Source organism: Homo sapiens, chromosome 16 (genome assembly GCF_000001405.40).
Source record: "Homo sapiens chromosome 16, GRCh38.p14 Primary Assembly".
In the NCBI taxonomy this organism is placed as follows: domain Eukaryota; kingdom Metazoa; phylum Chordata; class Mammalia; order Primates; family Hominidae; genus Homo; species Homo sapiens.
In genome coordinates this window covers 58,143,728-58,157,860 of record NC_000016.10, presented here as the reverse complement: position 1 = coordinate 58,157,860, position 14,133 = coordinate 58,143,728, and the positions used below count along the sequence as shown (strand labels likewise).

Sequence of the window (14,133 nt, the reverse complement as noted above, 5' to 3'; positions counted from 1 at the left end):
TGACTCAGGATGAGACAAAAGCGCATTCGTGCCAGGTTCTAACCAGACGAAGCAGGGGAGGTCCCTGGGACAAGGTGGGCCAGTTTTCATTTTTGTTTTTAAACAGTCTTGCTCTGTCATGGAGGCTGGAGTGCAGTGGCGCAACCATAGCTCACTACAGCCTCGGCCTCCTGGCCTCAAGTGATCCTCCTGCTTCAGCCTCCTGAGTAGCTGGGATTACAGGTGCATGCCACCACACCTGACAAGTTTTCTTAAGTTTTTTTTTTGTAGAAATGGTCTTGCCACGTGGCCCAGGCTGGTCTCAAACTCCTGACTCAAGTGATCCTCTTTCCTAGTCCCCCTAAAGTGCTGGGTCTACATAGAGGTGTGAGCCACCACACTCAGCCAAGGAGGGCCCGTTTGTAAGGACTCTCTTCCAGAGCTGAGTGGTGTTAAGAGGTACACAGTGAACCAGTCCTAGGAATGGGGACAATATGGATGGCTGAAGTAGACTCAGCCAGGAAAGTGGGGCTTTGCCTTGAACACATTCCAACTGGCCAGCATCCTCCCTGGCCTCTCCTTCAAATGAGAGTCACCTCCTGTGAATGCAGGAAGATGCCTTGGCCCTTTCTTGGTTGCCCCTTTGCTCCCATCTCCACATTTCATCCCATCTCAATCCTGTCCCCTCAGCACCTGCTACTGAAGAAAGGCCCCGTCTTGGAGGCTGGTTGAGTTTGCTGTCCTGAGGCAGGAGAGGGGTCGAGGTCTCTGATCTGAGGGCTGCTTTTGACCACACATTCTGAAGCACCCATGAACTGGAAGGAAAAGCAGACACTCAGGGAGCTAGAACAGAAGCACTGGTTGTATTTGTTAAATGGGAGAAACCCAATGCTACAAATGAGACTTCGCTGGCTCCCATGGTCCTCAGCTCAAGACAGTGGTGCCAGGGCAGGTGAAAGCAATGGCCATGACCTTGTACTGGCTGCTGGTTTGTGTCCTCCCACTGCCTGTAGGACAGCAGGAGCTATGGGCAGATCTAGACACCCAAGCCACTGGATGGCACGCCAGCTAGGTCTCCACAAAAGCAACTTGGTCCACACAACATTCTCTGTCCTCTGCAGCTAGTTCTGGCCCATGGTGGGAACCCAAGTGTGGATGTTCACAGTTTTTGAAGTGACTATGGAGGAAAGCAGGCCCCTTTCAGGGCCACCACAGCATCGTGGTGTCCTTTGGACCAGCTTCTGTGGCATCTAAGCTGTTGCTCAGGTGTGGGAGCTTGAGACTGTGCATCCCCCCTGGACACCAGCAGGTGAGGACCCATAGGCCACCACCTGTGGGACACTGAGCAGATAGACTTGGTGCTTTCTAGCCCCATCACTGGCCTAATTTTCTCAAGCTGGCTGTCTCGGGGCTCTTTGTGACTCAAGGCTGTGCAAATTTCTGTGAGTCTCCCAGATCTCTGGGACTGCATCAAAACACCTTGTTGTTTTGTTGTACCCTGTAGTACCTAGGAACATGCTTCGTGCGTGCATGTTTATCTCCACAGCATGTATCTGTGCTACTTAGCGTGACTTACTGCCATCTCAGGTCTTCTCCAGACATAGAGGGTCTTATTCGAATAGAATCATTTGATTGGCTTGCATCTTTAGATGTCATGTAGAACTTGGAACCATAACTCCCTCCTCCAATTTCCCCCCTCAACCAAGGCTCTCTTTAACTGCTCCGTGTGGAAATCATGTTTCACAAATAATTTTCAGTTTTGTGGGTGATTATGGTTGGGTTGAGAAAGTGTGTGGTTGTAGAAAGAAGAGAAAGGAGGTGATTTTTGAGTAGGTTGTTTTGACTTTTGAAAGCAGGGGACGTCCTAACACCTGCTACCACAAAAACTGTCTTCAGCTCCTCCTCAGTGTGCTTGGAGATTCAGAACATCAGCTCTCATCTCCCAGTGGTCCTGGTTGTGTTCTAAACAATATTGATTGCATTTTCCTGATTACCAAAATAATATATGTTTGTGGTAAAAACAAAAAAAAATTCAAATGCTTACAGAGAAGTAAATAACGAAAGCCCCAGCCCCCAGCCACACACACACACACACACACACACACACACACACACACACACACACACACACACCCCATGCTCACAGGAAAGCCTCTTCCTCTCTTAGAGATAATCACCATTAAATTTTGTGTATATCTTCCCGGTTTTTTCCTATGCACTTACTATTTTAAAATTATAATTTTCATTTTTACATAAATGGTAATCAGACTATGCATTCTTATTCTGCAACTCGTATTTCCACTTAGTTGTGAAAATCTTACTGCATTACCGTGTATAAATCTACCTCACCCCTTTTCGTGGCTGCATGGTTTACCATTGCGTGATACACCACAGTTGAATCAATCTGTTATTGATAGACTTTGGATTGTTCCTCATTTTTCAGTATTACCAGTATTGCTGCAATAAACAAATGTGCACATACATTTTTGGACAATATGTATGTGGAATGAAATCGTTAAAAATAATTATGCTATATGATGTTTTTGGAAAGGGTATTCTTATGATTCTAGAAAGCAGCCTCCCAGCCCTTCCCTCACTGGTGCAGGCTGGAACTGTGATGACTCTGGCCATGGGATTCTTGCAGGCCTCTATCAAGCACGTGGGGCACAGGCACGGTATCTGCAGCCTCTCAGCTTTCTAGAGGACTACAGAAATGTTTGAGACCTGAATAAAGAAAAAGTGTTGGCTCTAACCTAAGAAAGTTGAAAGTAAATATTAATAAGTGGAATTAAACGTCTTAATGTACAACCTTGTGAACGTCACTCATTAAATTCAATAATTGCTTTTAAAAATATCTTTCTCATAAATTAGTGAGTCACAGAATTGTCAGATAATTTCAAAAGCAAATTCTAAGGATTCTTCTCAAAAATCACAGAAGAAAAAAACATAAATATGAAAAATGGTTGCATTTTAATGTATTTGAAATGCCATGGGAAAGAATTCATAAGTAAGCACAACGGCAGGGCACGGTGGCTCATGCCTGTAGTCCCAGCACTTTGGGAGTCTGAGGTGGGAGGATCGCTTAAGGCCAGGAGTTTGAGGTTGCAGTGAGCTGTGATCACGCCACCACACTCCAGCCTGGGTGACAGAGTGAGTCCCTGCTTTAAAAAAAAAAAAAAAAAATGCATGCTGAGGACCAGCATGTTTTAAAATAGCTCTGGCCGTAAGGGGCCAGGTGTTAGAATGGATGAACAGTCTTTTTCAGAATATTATTCTACAGGCTGTTAAAATAATGTGCATCTTAAATGCATTGTGCTAAGCAAAGAAGCCAGATCCATGTGGAACAGATCTGTGGTTACCGAGGGTTAGGGATGACTACAAAACATGAGTATGAGGTAATTTTGGGGGATGATGGAATTGTTCTGTGTCCTAAATGTGGTGGTGGTTATATGACTTGGTGCCCTTGTCAAAACTTTACACCTAAAAAAGAGTACATTTTATTGTATGTACACTTAAAAGTTCATTTTGGGACAGGGTCTTGCTCTGTTGCCCAGGCTGGAGTGCAGTGGTGTAATCATAGCTCACTGCAGTTCAACCTCCTGGGCTTAAATGATCCTCCCACCTCAGACTCCTGAGTAGCTGGGACCACAAGCACACACAACCATGCCTGGCTAATTTTTTTAAAGTTTTTAATAGAGACAAGGGCTTGCTATGTTTCGCAGTCTAGTCTCAAACTCCTGGGCTCAAGCGATCTTCCTGCCTCACCCTCCCAAAATGTTGGGATTACAGGTATGAGTCACTGGGCCCAGCCTAAAATTCATTTTTTTAATAATAACATGCAGGGCCTCACAGACTCCCATTTAGACTCCACTCTCCAATGAGCAGGAACGTCATCTGCACACCGTGACTCTTCCTGATAGGCTCGAGGGCTATCACTGCTGGGGCTGGGATACAGTTGTTCTTTGCCAGCTAGACACTCCAGTCATTCAGGGCACACTTCCATCTTTGCTCCCAGCTAAGGGATACAGCTCCTCACCTCACTGCTATACCTCCGCATCCCCATCCCCACCAGAAAAGAGATGCAGGGAGTCAACTCTGCCTTCCAGTGTGTGGCAAGCCCCTCGTGTCTCCAGGGCAGATGTTCTGAATTTTTGGGCTTGGACTAACACGAAGAGGCACTGTCCACTGGGTATTGGCATCTGACTAGGGCTTTTGTGCACTGAAAGGGATGCTTACAGTTACTAGTGTTTTAAACAATAGTTATTAAAGCTGTACATTTAATTTGCCTCATGTCTTTAAGATCAGTTTATAAATCTAGCTACAACTAGCTACAAACAAGTTGATTTTGTATATAGATAGAAATGCTTAATCTTTAATGTTCAATTAGTTCGAAACAATGAGTTAAAATGAAAAAATTGCTTGCACGCCTAATTTAGTTTCCTTGGCCATTTTAAACTCAATTACACGTTTAAACTGTTTGATTTGCACACACTTCCAATAACTAATATGAAAGACCTAAAATCTGATGAAATCTTCCTGAGCATTGAAATACTAACCTAAATCTACATTCATAAATTTAATACGTTAAGGTCTTGTAAACATTCATTATTTATCAACTTGTTAAAATTTTCTTTTTTTTTTTTTTTTGAGAGTAGTCTCGCTCTGTTGCCCAGGCTGGAGTGCAGTGGCGCAATCTCAGCGCACTGCAAGTTCCACCTCCCGGGGTTCACGCCATCCTGCCTCAGCCTCCGGAGTAGCTGGGACTACAGGTGCCCACCACCACGCCCAGCTAATTTTTTTGTATTTTTAGTAGAGACGGGGTTTCACCGTGTTGGCCAGAATGGTCTCAATCTCCTGACCTCGTGATCCGCCCATCTTGGCCTCTCAAAGTGCTGGGATTACAGGCATGAGCCACCGAGCCCGGCCTCAACTTGTTAAATTTTCTTAGATATTTTAAAATTAAAACCACAGATCTAATTTCAAATTCCTTTAAGCATTTTGAATTAAATTCCAAGTGTCTGATCCTCTAAGACATTAGGTACTCTTAAATATTTCAAATATTTTAACAGTATCACCATAATCGGAAACATTCTTCAGTGTAACCCAGATTACTGAGATCATGGGTTGTATTTACTTACCACAATCTCTGTGTGTTTTAGCACTCGCCCCACCAAGGTGACATACTCTGCCTCAGCTCAGGACTGCAATATGTTAATGGTTAGAGATTCTGGGCCAGGCACAGGACTTGATACTGCTTCTGTAATAGTTCTACCCAAGCTGGAAGCTAAACGTCTTGGAGTAATGGGTTTTTTCTTTATTCTTTTCTTTTCTTTTTTTTTTTTTTTTTTTTGAGACAGGGTCTCACTCTGTCGCCCAGATTGGAATGCAGTGGCGCAATCTCAGCTCACTACTGCGTTCAGCTCCGAGGCTCAAGTGATCCTCTTGCCTCAGCCTCCTGAGTAGCTGAGGCCACAGGCATGTGCCACCCCACCCAGCTAATTTTTTGTATTTTTGGTAGAGACAGGGTTTCCCCATGTTTCCCAGGCTGGTTTTGAACACCTGGCCTCATGTGATCCACCAGCCTCAGCCTCCCAAAGTGCTGGGATTACAGGTGTGAGTCACGGCACCTGGGCAGTAATGGGATTCTTAAGACAACTTGTATCTTGCTTCTGGTGCATTATTTTACCTTTTGCACAACTTTTAACTGCCTGATTTGCATCAGTTGAGCTTCTGCACCCACTGCCCAGGTTGCTCTTACTTTACTGCCTCATTTGATTTTCCTCCCTTTTTATTATTATTTTTGTCTGACTATGCCATTCTTTTAAAAATTATTTTCGACCAGGCGCAGTGGCTCACACCTGTAATCCCAGCACTTTGGGAGGCCAAGGCGGGCGGATCACGAGGTCGAGAGATCGAGACCATCCTGGCTAACACTGTGAAACCCCGCCTCTACTAAAAATACAAAAAATTAGCCGGGCTTGGTGGCGGGCACCTGTAATCCCAGCTACTTGGGAGGCTGAGGCAGGAGAATGGCATGAACCCGGGAGGCGGAGCTTACGGTGAGCTGAGATTGTGCCACTGCACTCTAGCCTGGGCGACAGAACAAGACTCCGTCTCAAAAAAAAAAAAATTATTTTCATGTAAATTTTTTTTCTTGTCACTCAATTGGATGGCTAATCCATTCTAATATTGACAGCAGCAATTTTTTTTTTTTTTTTTTGGATACAGGGCCTTTGTCACCCAGGCTGGACTGCAGTGGTGCAATCATGGTGCACTGCAGCCTCGACCTCCCAGGCTCAGATGATTTTCAACCTCAGCCTCCCAGGTAGCTGGGACTACAGGCGTGTGCCACCACGCCCAGCTAATTTTTTGGGTTTTTGTTTTTTGTTTTTTGAGATGGAGTTTCGCTCTTGTTGCCCAGGCTGGAGTGCAGTGGCGCGATCTCGGCTCACTGCAACCTTCGCCTCCCGGGTTCAAGCCATTCTCCTGCCTCAGGCTCCCGAGTAGCTGGGATTATAGGCATGCATCACCACGCCCAGTTTAACTAATTTTGTATTTTTAGTACAGACGGGGTTTCTCCATGTTGGTGAGGCTGGTCTTGAACTCCCAACCTCAGGTGATCCACCTGCCTTGGTCTCCCAAAGTGCTGGGATTACAGGCATGAGCCACCACGCCCGGCCCTGTATTTTTTTATTTTTAAGAAACCATGTTGCCCAGGCTCGTCTTGAATTCCTGGCTTCAAGCAATCCTCCTGCCTTGGCCTCCCAAAGTGCTGGGATTATAAGCGTAAACCATCATGCCTGGCCTGACAGCAGCAGTTTACTAGCAAGGTTTTTCTTGTACAAAGGAACTTCAAAAAGTTTGTGAAAAATTGAATTTAAAGATAAAAATTAAAAATATGAATTTATTTCTCAGCAGAATCTTCATCAAGTTCAAGACAATTTTGTAAGTGATATCAGGCATTTAGTTCCTCCTTAAAGAACTGAGGGAAGCTGGGCACGGTGGCTCATGCCTGTAATCCCAGCACTTTGGGAGGCTGAGGCGGGTGGATTACTTGAGATCAGGAGTTCGAGACCAGCCTGGCCAATATGGTGAAACCCCGCCTCTATACAAATACAAAAAAATTAGTCGGTGTGGTGGCACGTGCCTGTAATCCCAGCTACTCAGGAGGCTGAGGCAGGAGAATCACTTGAACCTGGTGGGTGGAGGTTGCAGTATTGAATCTGGGGGGCGGAGGTTGCAGTGAGCTGAGATTGCACCACTGCACTCCAGCTTGGGCGACACAGTGAGACTCCGTCTCAAAAAAAACAAAAAACAAACAAACTCAGGGTCCTGAGAATTTAACCATGCCAATGTAGTCTTGCTTCCTTGATTTATTTATTTATTTATTTATTTAGAGACGGAGTCTCCCTCTGTTGCCCAGGCTGGAGTGCGCTGGCATGATTTTGGCTCACTGCAACCTCTGCCACCCGAGTTCAAGCGATTCTCCTGCCTCAGCCTCTCAAGCGCTGGGATTACAGACGCGTGCCACCACGCCCGGCTAATTTTTTGTATTTTTAGTAGAGACAGGGTTTCGCCATGTTGGCCAGGCTGGTCTTGAACTCCTGACCTTAGATGATCCACCCACCTTGGCCTCCCAAAATGCTGGGATTACAGGCATGAGCCACCATGCCCAGCCTCATTATTAACTGAAGAAAAATGGGTGCCCTTTAAAGAATTTGTCAGATTAGGAAACAAAAAGAAGTCAGAAGGAGCTAAATCAGGACTGTAAGATGGATGCCTAATGATTTCTTGTTGAAACTCTGCAAAATTGCCCTCGTTTTTCATGAGGAGTGAGCAGGAGCATTGTGGTGGAGAAGGAGTCTCTAGTGAAGCTTTCCCAGGCATTTTTCTCCTAAAGCTCTGGGTAACCTACTGAAAACACTCTCATAGGAAGCAAATGTTATCATTCTTTGGCCCTCCAGAAAGTTGACAGCAAAATGCTTTGAGCATCCCAAAAAACTGTTGCCATGACCTTCGACTGGTCTACTTTTTCTTTGGCCAGACCACTTCCGCCTCTCGGTAGCCACTGCTTTGTGCTTGTCTTCAGGATCGTACTGGTGAACCCATGTGTCATCTCCTGTTACAGTTTTTTTTGAAGAAATGCTTCAGATTCTTGATCCCACTTATTTAAAATTGCCATTGAAAGTTCTGTTCTTCTCTATAGTTGATCTGGGCAAAGCAGTTTTAGCACCCATCAAATGGAAAGTTTGCTTAACTTTATTTTTCAAAATTTCTTAATTTTTCAAAATTGTGTAAGCCGAACCAATTGAGATGTTTGTGCTGTTGGCTATTGTTTGTTCGTTTGTTTCTTTCTTTCTTTTTTTTTTTTTTTTGTGATGGAGTCTTGCTCTGTTGCCCAGGCTAGAGTGCAGCAGCACGATCTTGGCTCACTGCAACTCTGCCTCCTGGGTTCAAGCAATTCTCCTCCCTCAGCCTCCTGAGTAGCTGGGACTACAGGCGCCTGCCACCGCACCCAGCTGATTTTTGTATTTTGAGTAAAGACAGAGTTCCACCATCTTGGCCAGGCTGGTCTCGAACTCCTGACCTTGTGATCCACCCACCTCGGCCTCCCAAAGTGCTGGGATTGCAGGCATGAGCCACTGCGCCCAGGCTCTTTTTTTCTTTTTTGAGACAGAGTCTCACTCTGTCACCCAGGCTGGAGTGCAGTGGCAAGGTCTCAGTTCACTACAGCCTCCGCCTCCCAGGCTCAGGTGATCTTCCCACCTTAGTCTCCCGACTAGCTGGGACTACAGGAGGCGTGCATCACCATGCCAGGCTAATTTTTATTTTTTTGTAGATACAAGGTCTCATTATATTGACTAGGCTAGTCTCGAAGCCCTGGGCTCAAGCAATCCTCCCGTTTTGGCTTCCCAAAGTGCTGGGATTACAGGTGTGAGCCACTGTGCCCAGCTGTGTTTTCATTTTAATTGGGGAAAATGCATAGTTACTGAGAGAAAGTTACAAGAACAACACAATGCAGTAAGAGACCACAGAGTTTTTGTGGGCAGGCAAATGGGCTCAGTGAGCCTGGATTCCAAGCTGAGGAGGGTCTCTACGGACTGGGTGGGTCTGGAGCTGCAGAGACCAGGAGACACAGAGCCTGTGCTGTGCCTTCAGTGGCCAGGAGCCCCAAGCCTGTGATTCTGATTCACTGATTCAACACATACTGCATACCCACTTAAAAGTGCAAGCACTAGGCTTGAGTACTGGGAATACATCTATAAGCCAGACAGACCAAATTCTTCCTCCCAGAAGCTCAGAACTGAGTGATGGGCAAGACAGATAATAAGCAAATAACTATTTAGACTGTCAAGTGGTAATGAGTGCAATGAAAAAGAATCAGGCAGAGCAGTGGGAAGACAAGTGTCGGTAGGGTGTGGAGGGGGTGCTGTTTTTAAGACTGGGTTGTCAAAGACATCCTCTCCAGTAAAGCAGTATTGTGGGCTGAGTAATATCCCCCCAAAATTCATGTCCACCCAGAGCCTCAGAATGTGACCTTATTTGGAAAGAAGGTTTTTGCAGATGTAATTAGTCAAAGATCTCAAGATGATGTCATGCTGGATTTAGGGTGTACCCTAAATCCAATGCTGAGAGTATCCTTATAACGAGAGGAGAGGACACAGAGAAAAGGTGGCCACATGGAGATGGAGGCAGAAATTGGAAAGACACTGCCACAAGCCAACCAGATTGGAATGCCTGGGGGCCACCAGAAGCCAGGAAGAAGCAAGGAAGGACCCTGCCCCAGAGCCTTCAGAGGGAGCATGGCCCAGTCAACACCTTGATTTTGGACTTCTTAGCTTTCTGCACTGTGAGAGATTACATTGCTGTTATTTTACATTTAAATTTTATTTTGAATTAATTTTACTTTAATTTTATTTTGTTCAATTGCCACCATACCAAGGTTGTGGTCATTTGTCGTGGCATCTCTAGGTAGCTAATACAGACAGCGCCTGAGTGGAGCTCCGAGTGAGGAAAAGAGTGAGCCAGTAGAGCAGGACCAGCCAGGGCAGGGACAGAGGCAGAGGGAAGCCGGTGAGAGAGGGATGCAGGGTGCAGGCAGCACTGAGGGAGGAGGGTGTGAGGAGAAGGATGTAGGAGAGAAGGCCAAAGTGGTTTCAGGGAACAAGATGGAGGAGACCAGAGTAAGGATTTTTTTTTTAATGTGTGTATATATGTGGGGGTGTGTGTGTGTGTATTTATGTATATATACACACACATATATTTTTTATATTTATATACTTTTAAAAAATATTTTTTATATTTTATATACACACTTTTTAAATATATATATTTCTCACTCTGTCACCCAGGCTGGAGTGCAGTGACACAATCTTGACTCACTGCAACCTCTGCCTCCTTGGTTCAAGTGACTCTCGTGCCTCAGCCTCCTGAGTAGCTGGGATTACAGGTGTGCACCACCATGCCTAGCTAACTTTTGCATTTTTTTGTAGAGACGGAGTCTTCCCATGTTGCCCAGGCTGGTCTCAAACTCCTGGGCTCCAGCAATCTGCTCACCTTGGCCTCCCAAAGTGCTGGGATTATAGGTGTGAGCCTTAGTTTTATTCTTAGCAAAATGAGTAGCTATTAGAGCAAAGAGCCACTAAGAGGATCCTTCTGGCTGCCATGTGGAGAGTGGACTACAGGATGGCAAGAGTAGTTGTAAGCAATCAGGAGGAGGCTGTCTCAGGCGTACAGGAGAGAGAGGCTGCATTAGCCCTTCTTGCGTTGCTATAAAGAAATGCCTGAGGCTGGTTAATTTATACGGAATGGAGCTTTAATTGGCTCACAGTTCTGCAGGCTGTACCAGCATGGCTCCAGCATATGCTTCTGGTGAGGCCTCAGGAACCTTACAATCATGGCACAAGGCAAAGGGAAGCAGGTGCGCCACATGGCAGGAGAGGGAGCAAGAGAGTGAGGGGGAAAGTCACACACTTTTTTTTTTTTTTTTTTTTTTTTGAGAAAGGGTCTCACTCTGTTGCCCAGGCTGGAGTGCAGTGGTATGATCTCAGCTCACTGCAACCTCCACATCCTGGGTTCAAGTGATTCTTGTACCTCAGCTTCCCAAGTAGTTGGGACTACAGGCACACACCACCACGCCCATCTAATTTTTGACATTTTTAGTAGAGATGGGTTTCACCATGTTGGCCAGGCTGGTCTTGAACTTCTGGCCTCAAGTGATCTGCTCACCTCAGCCTCCCAAAGTGCCAGGATTACAAATGTCAGCCACTGCGCCCAGCCAGTGCCACACACTTTTAAACAACCAGATCTTACGTGAACTCAGACCAAGAACTTACTATCACAAGGACAGCACCAAGCTATTCATGAGTGAGGGATCTGCCCCCTGACCCAAATACCTCCCACCAGGCCCCACCTCCAACACTGAAGATCACATTTCAACATGAGATGTGGACGGTACAAACATTGAAACCATATCAGGGGTTGATGTTTGGACCAGGGCAGTACCCATAAAGGTAGGGATGTGATTAGATTGGGGAGATATTTTGAAGGTAGAGCTACAGGATTTGCTGATGTGGGCTGTGAGAAAAAGTGGAGCTCGAACTGACTCCAAGGTGTTGGGTCTGAGCAAGGAATCAAGCTGTCACTTACCAAAATGGGCAAGACTTGGGGTGGAGCAGGCTTGGGTAAGGGCTGCATGTGGGATGTGTGTGAGGGGAGAGGGTGGAGAAATGTAAAGCTCTGTTTGGGCCATGTTAAGATCCAAATGCCCACGATACCTCCCAGGGGAGAAGTCAAATAGCTGGTTGGATATATGCAAATGGAGCCCAATGGGGCAGTGGGAGTGAAGATAGACTTTGGGAATAGGGGTGGAAAGAATCAGCTTATATATAGGGAGCTATTAAAGCCATGAGACTAGCTGATATTGGAGGGAGTGGATTTTTGGGAAGAGTGGAGTTTGCAGACAGCACCTGGAGCCCTGTGAAGCTTAGACATGGAGGAAATGAAGATGGACTAGCAAAGAAGACAAAGAAGGAATGACTGGTGAAAAGAAAAAAGGGGGAGGCCGGGCACGGTGGCTCATGCCTGTAATCCTAGCACTTTGGGAGGCCGAGGCAGGTGGATCACGAGGTCAGGAGATCGAGACCATCCTGGCTAACACGGTGAAACCCCATCTCTACTAAAAATACAAAAAATTAGCCGGGCGTGGTGGTGGGCACCTGTAGTCCCAGCTACTTGGGAGGCTGAGGCAGGAGAATGGCATGAACCTGGGAGGCAGAGCTTGCAGTGAGCGAGATCGCGCCACTGCACTCCAACCTGGGCGACAGAGCGAGACTCTGTCTCAAAAAAAATATATACAAAAATTAGCCAGGTGTGGTGGTGGGCACCTGTAATCCAAGCTACTCAGGAGGCTGAGGCAGGAGAATCACTTGAACCCGGGAGGCAGAGGTTGCAATGAGCCGAGATCACACCATTGCACTCCAGCCTGGGCAACAGAGCGAGACTCCATCCAAAAAAAAAAAAAAGAAAAGAAAAGAAAAAAGGGGGAAACCAGAAGAGTATGATGCCTGGAAGTCAGGGAAAAAATGTAGTTCAAGAAGATGGAAGCAATGACTGGTTGCTGAAAAATCAAGTCATATGAAGTGTGAGAATTGGCCACTGGATTTGCCAACATGGTGGTCACTTGTGAGCATAAGGAGTGAGCTTGCAGAGTGGTGTGGCAGAAGTGGGATTGAAATGGATTGAGGTAGGGACAGGAGAAAAAGAAGTGGGGACTATAAGACAACTCTTGAGAAGCTTTGCTATAAAAGGCAGCAGAGAAATTGAGCTATAGGGGGAAAGAGGTAGCGCCAAGGGAAGGGATTTATTTTTAGATGGGAATATTACAGCTGTTCATAGACTTATGGAAATGATCCTCTGCAGAGGGAAAATTGATGGTGTGGGAGCATGAGGGCATTGTTGCAGGAATAACATCTGTGATGAGTCAGTGGCTTTGGGACCTGGTGCCCAGGTACAAGAGCTGGCCTTAAATAGCACAGGTGGTTCTCCTGTGTAATGGGAGGGAAAGCACAATACCTGGACGTGTACACATCCGGGTTGTGTGTTTCATAGAAGGGACCTATGGAAGCCCTGTTCTGATTGCTTCAGTTTTCTCAGTGAAATAGAGGCAAGGTTATACTTCCTTAATGGGCACAGAGTTCCTGTTTGAAATAATTAAAAAGGTTTGAAAATAGATAATGGTGATGGGGAAGGAGAAGAAGAAGAAGAGGAGGAGGAGGAAGATGGTATTTATCCAAAAGGCACTGGGTTTGGAAATGTTGAAAGTTGAGGAGAAGAGGGGAAGGTGATAAAAGAGAGTGTTATGGTTTGGTTGTGTCCCCACCCAAATCTCATCTTGAATTGTAGCTCCCATAATGCCCATGTGTTGTAGGAGGGACCCGGTGGGAGATAATTGAATCATGGGGGGTGGTTTCCCCCATACTATTCTCATGGTAGTGAATAAGTCTCACAAGATCTGATGGTTTTATAAGGGGAAACCCTTTTGCTTGGCTCTCATTTCTCTCTTGTCTGCCGCCACGTAAAACGTGCTTTTCACCTTCCACCATGATTGTGAGGCCTCCTCAGCCATGTGGAACTGTAAGTCCATTAAACCTCTTTTTCTTTATACATTACCCAGTCTCAGGTATGTGTTTATCAGCAGCATGAGAACAGACTAATACAGAAGAGCAAGTGCCCAGGAAATGTCAGAGAATTGCTGAGCTGCACTAAGTGTCCACTGGAGGTCCATGGTTATGAATTTGATGCAAGATGAGTCCTCATGGCTGTGAACCTTTCTCCAGCCACATCTAACTGCCTGGGGATAAACAGACTAGACCCAACCACATTTAACCTGGCTTGGGTTTTGCTACATGAATCCATGTGCATACCAGGAGGAGAGGGTGAAAATGTTGTGGAGGATGTACTCAAACCAATGAGTTAATAAATGGGCTGTGAAATCTAAGCCAGGACAAAGGAAAGTGAGGATGTGACAGAAGTGAGGGAGCATCCAACATAAGAGAGTAGTATGTTCAAAGTCCCAATGATGTTACATAACTTGAGGACTCAAGGACTCAGAACATGAGAAGAAGGCAGCCTGAATAATAATAGGAGGAGGTA

The 14,133-nt window shown here is 45.8% G+C and overlaps 1 long non-coding RNA gene across 4 annotated transcripts in view; it reads right to left on the bottom strand.

Annotated features, from left to right (window-relative positions):
* Positions 1 to 14,133, bottom strand: part of LOC101927556 (uncharacterized) — a 31,541-nt gene that overhangs the window by 2,564 nt on the left and 14,844 nt on the right. The window contains exon 3 of one of the 4 annotated variants that reach the window (NR_188515.1): positions 673 to 794. The exons of the other annotated variants lie outside the window; for them this stretch is intronic. This is a non-coding gene — a long non-coding RNA (uncharacterized LOC101927556). The remainder of the gene's footprint in view (positions 1 to 672; positions 795 to 14,133) is intronic. 4 annotated transcript variants of the gene reach the window in all.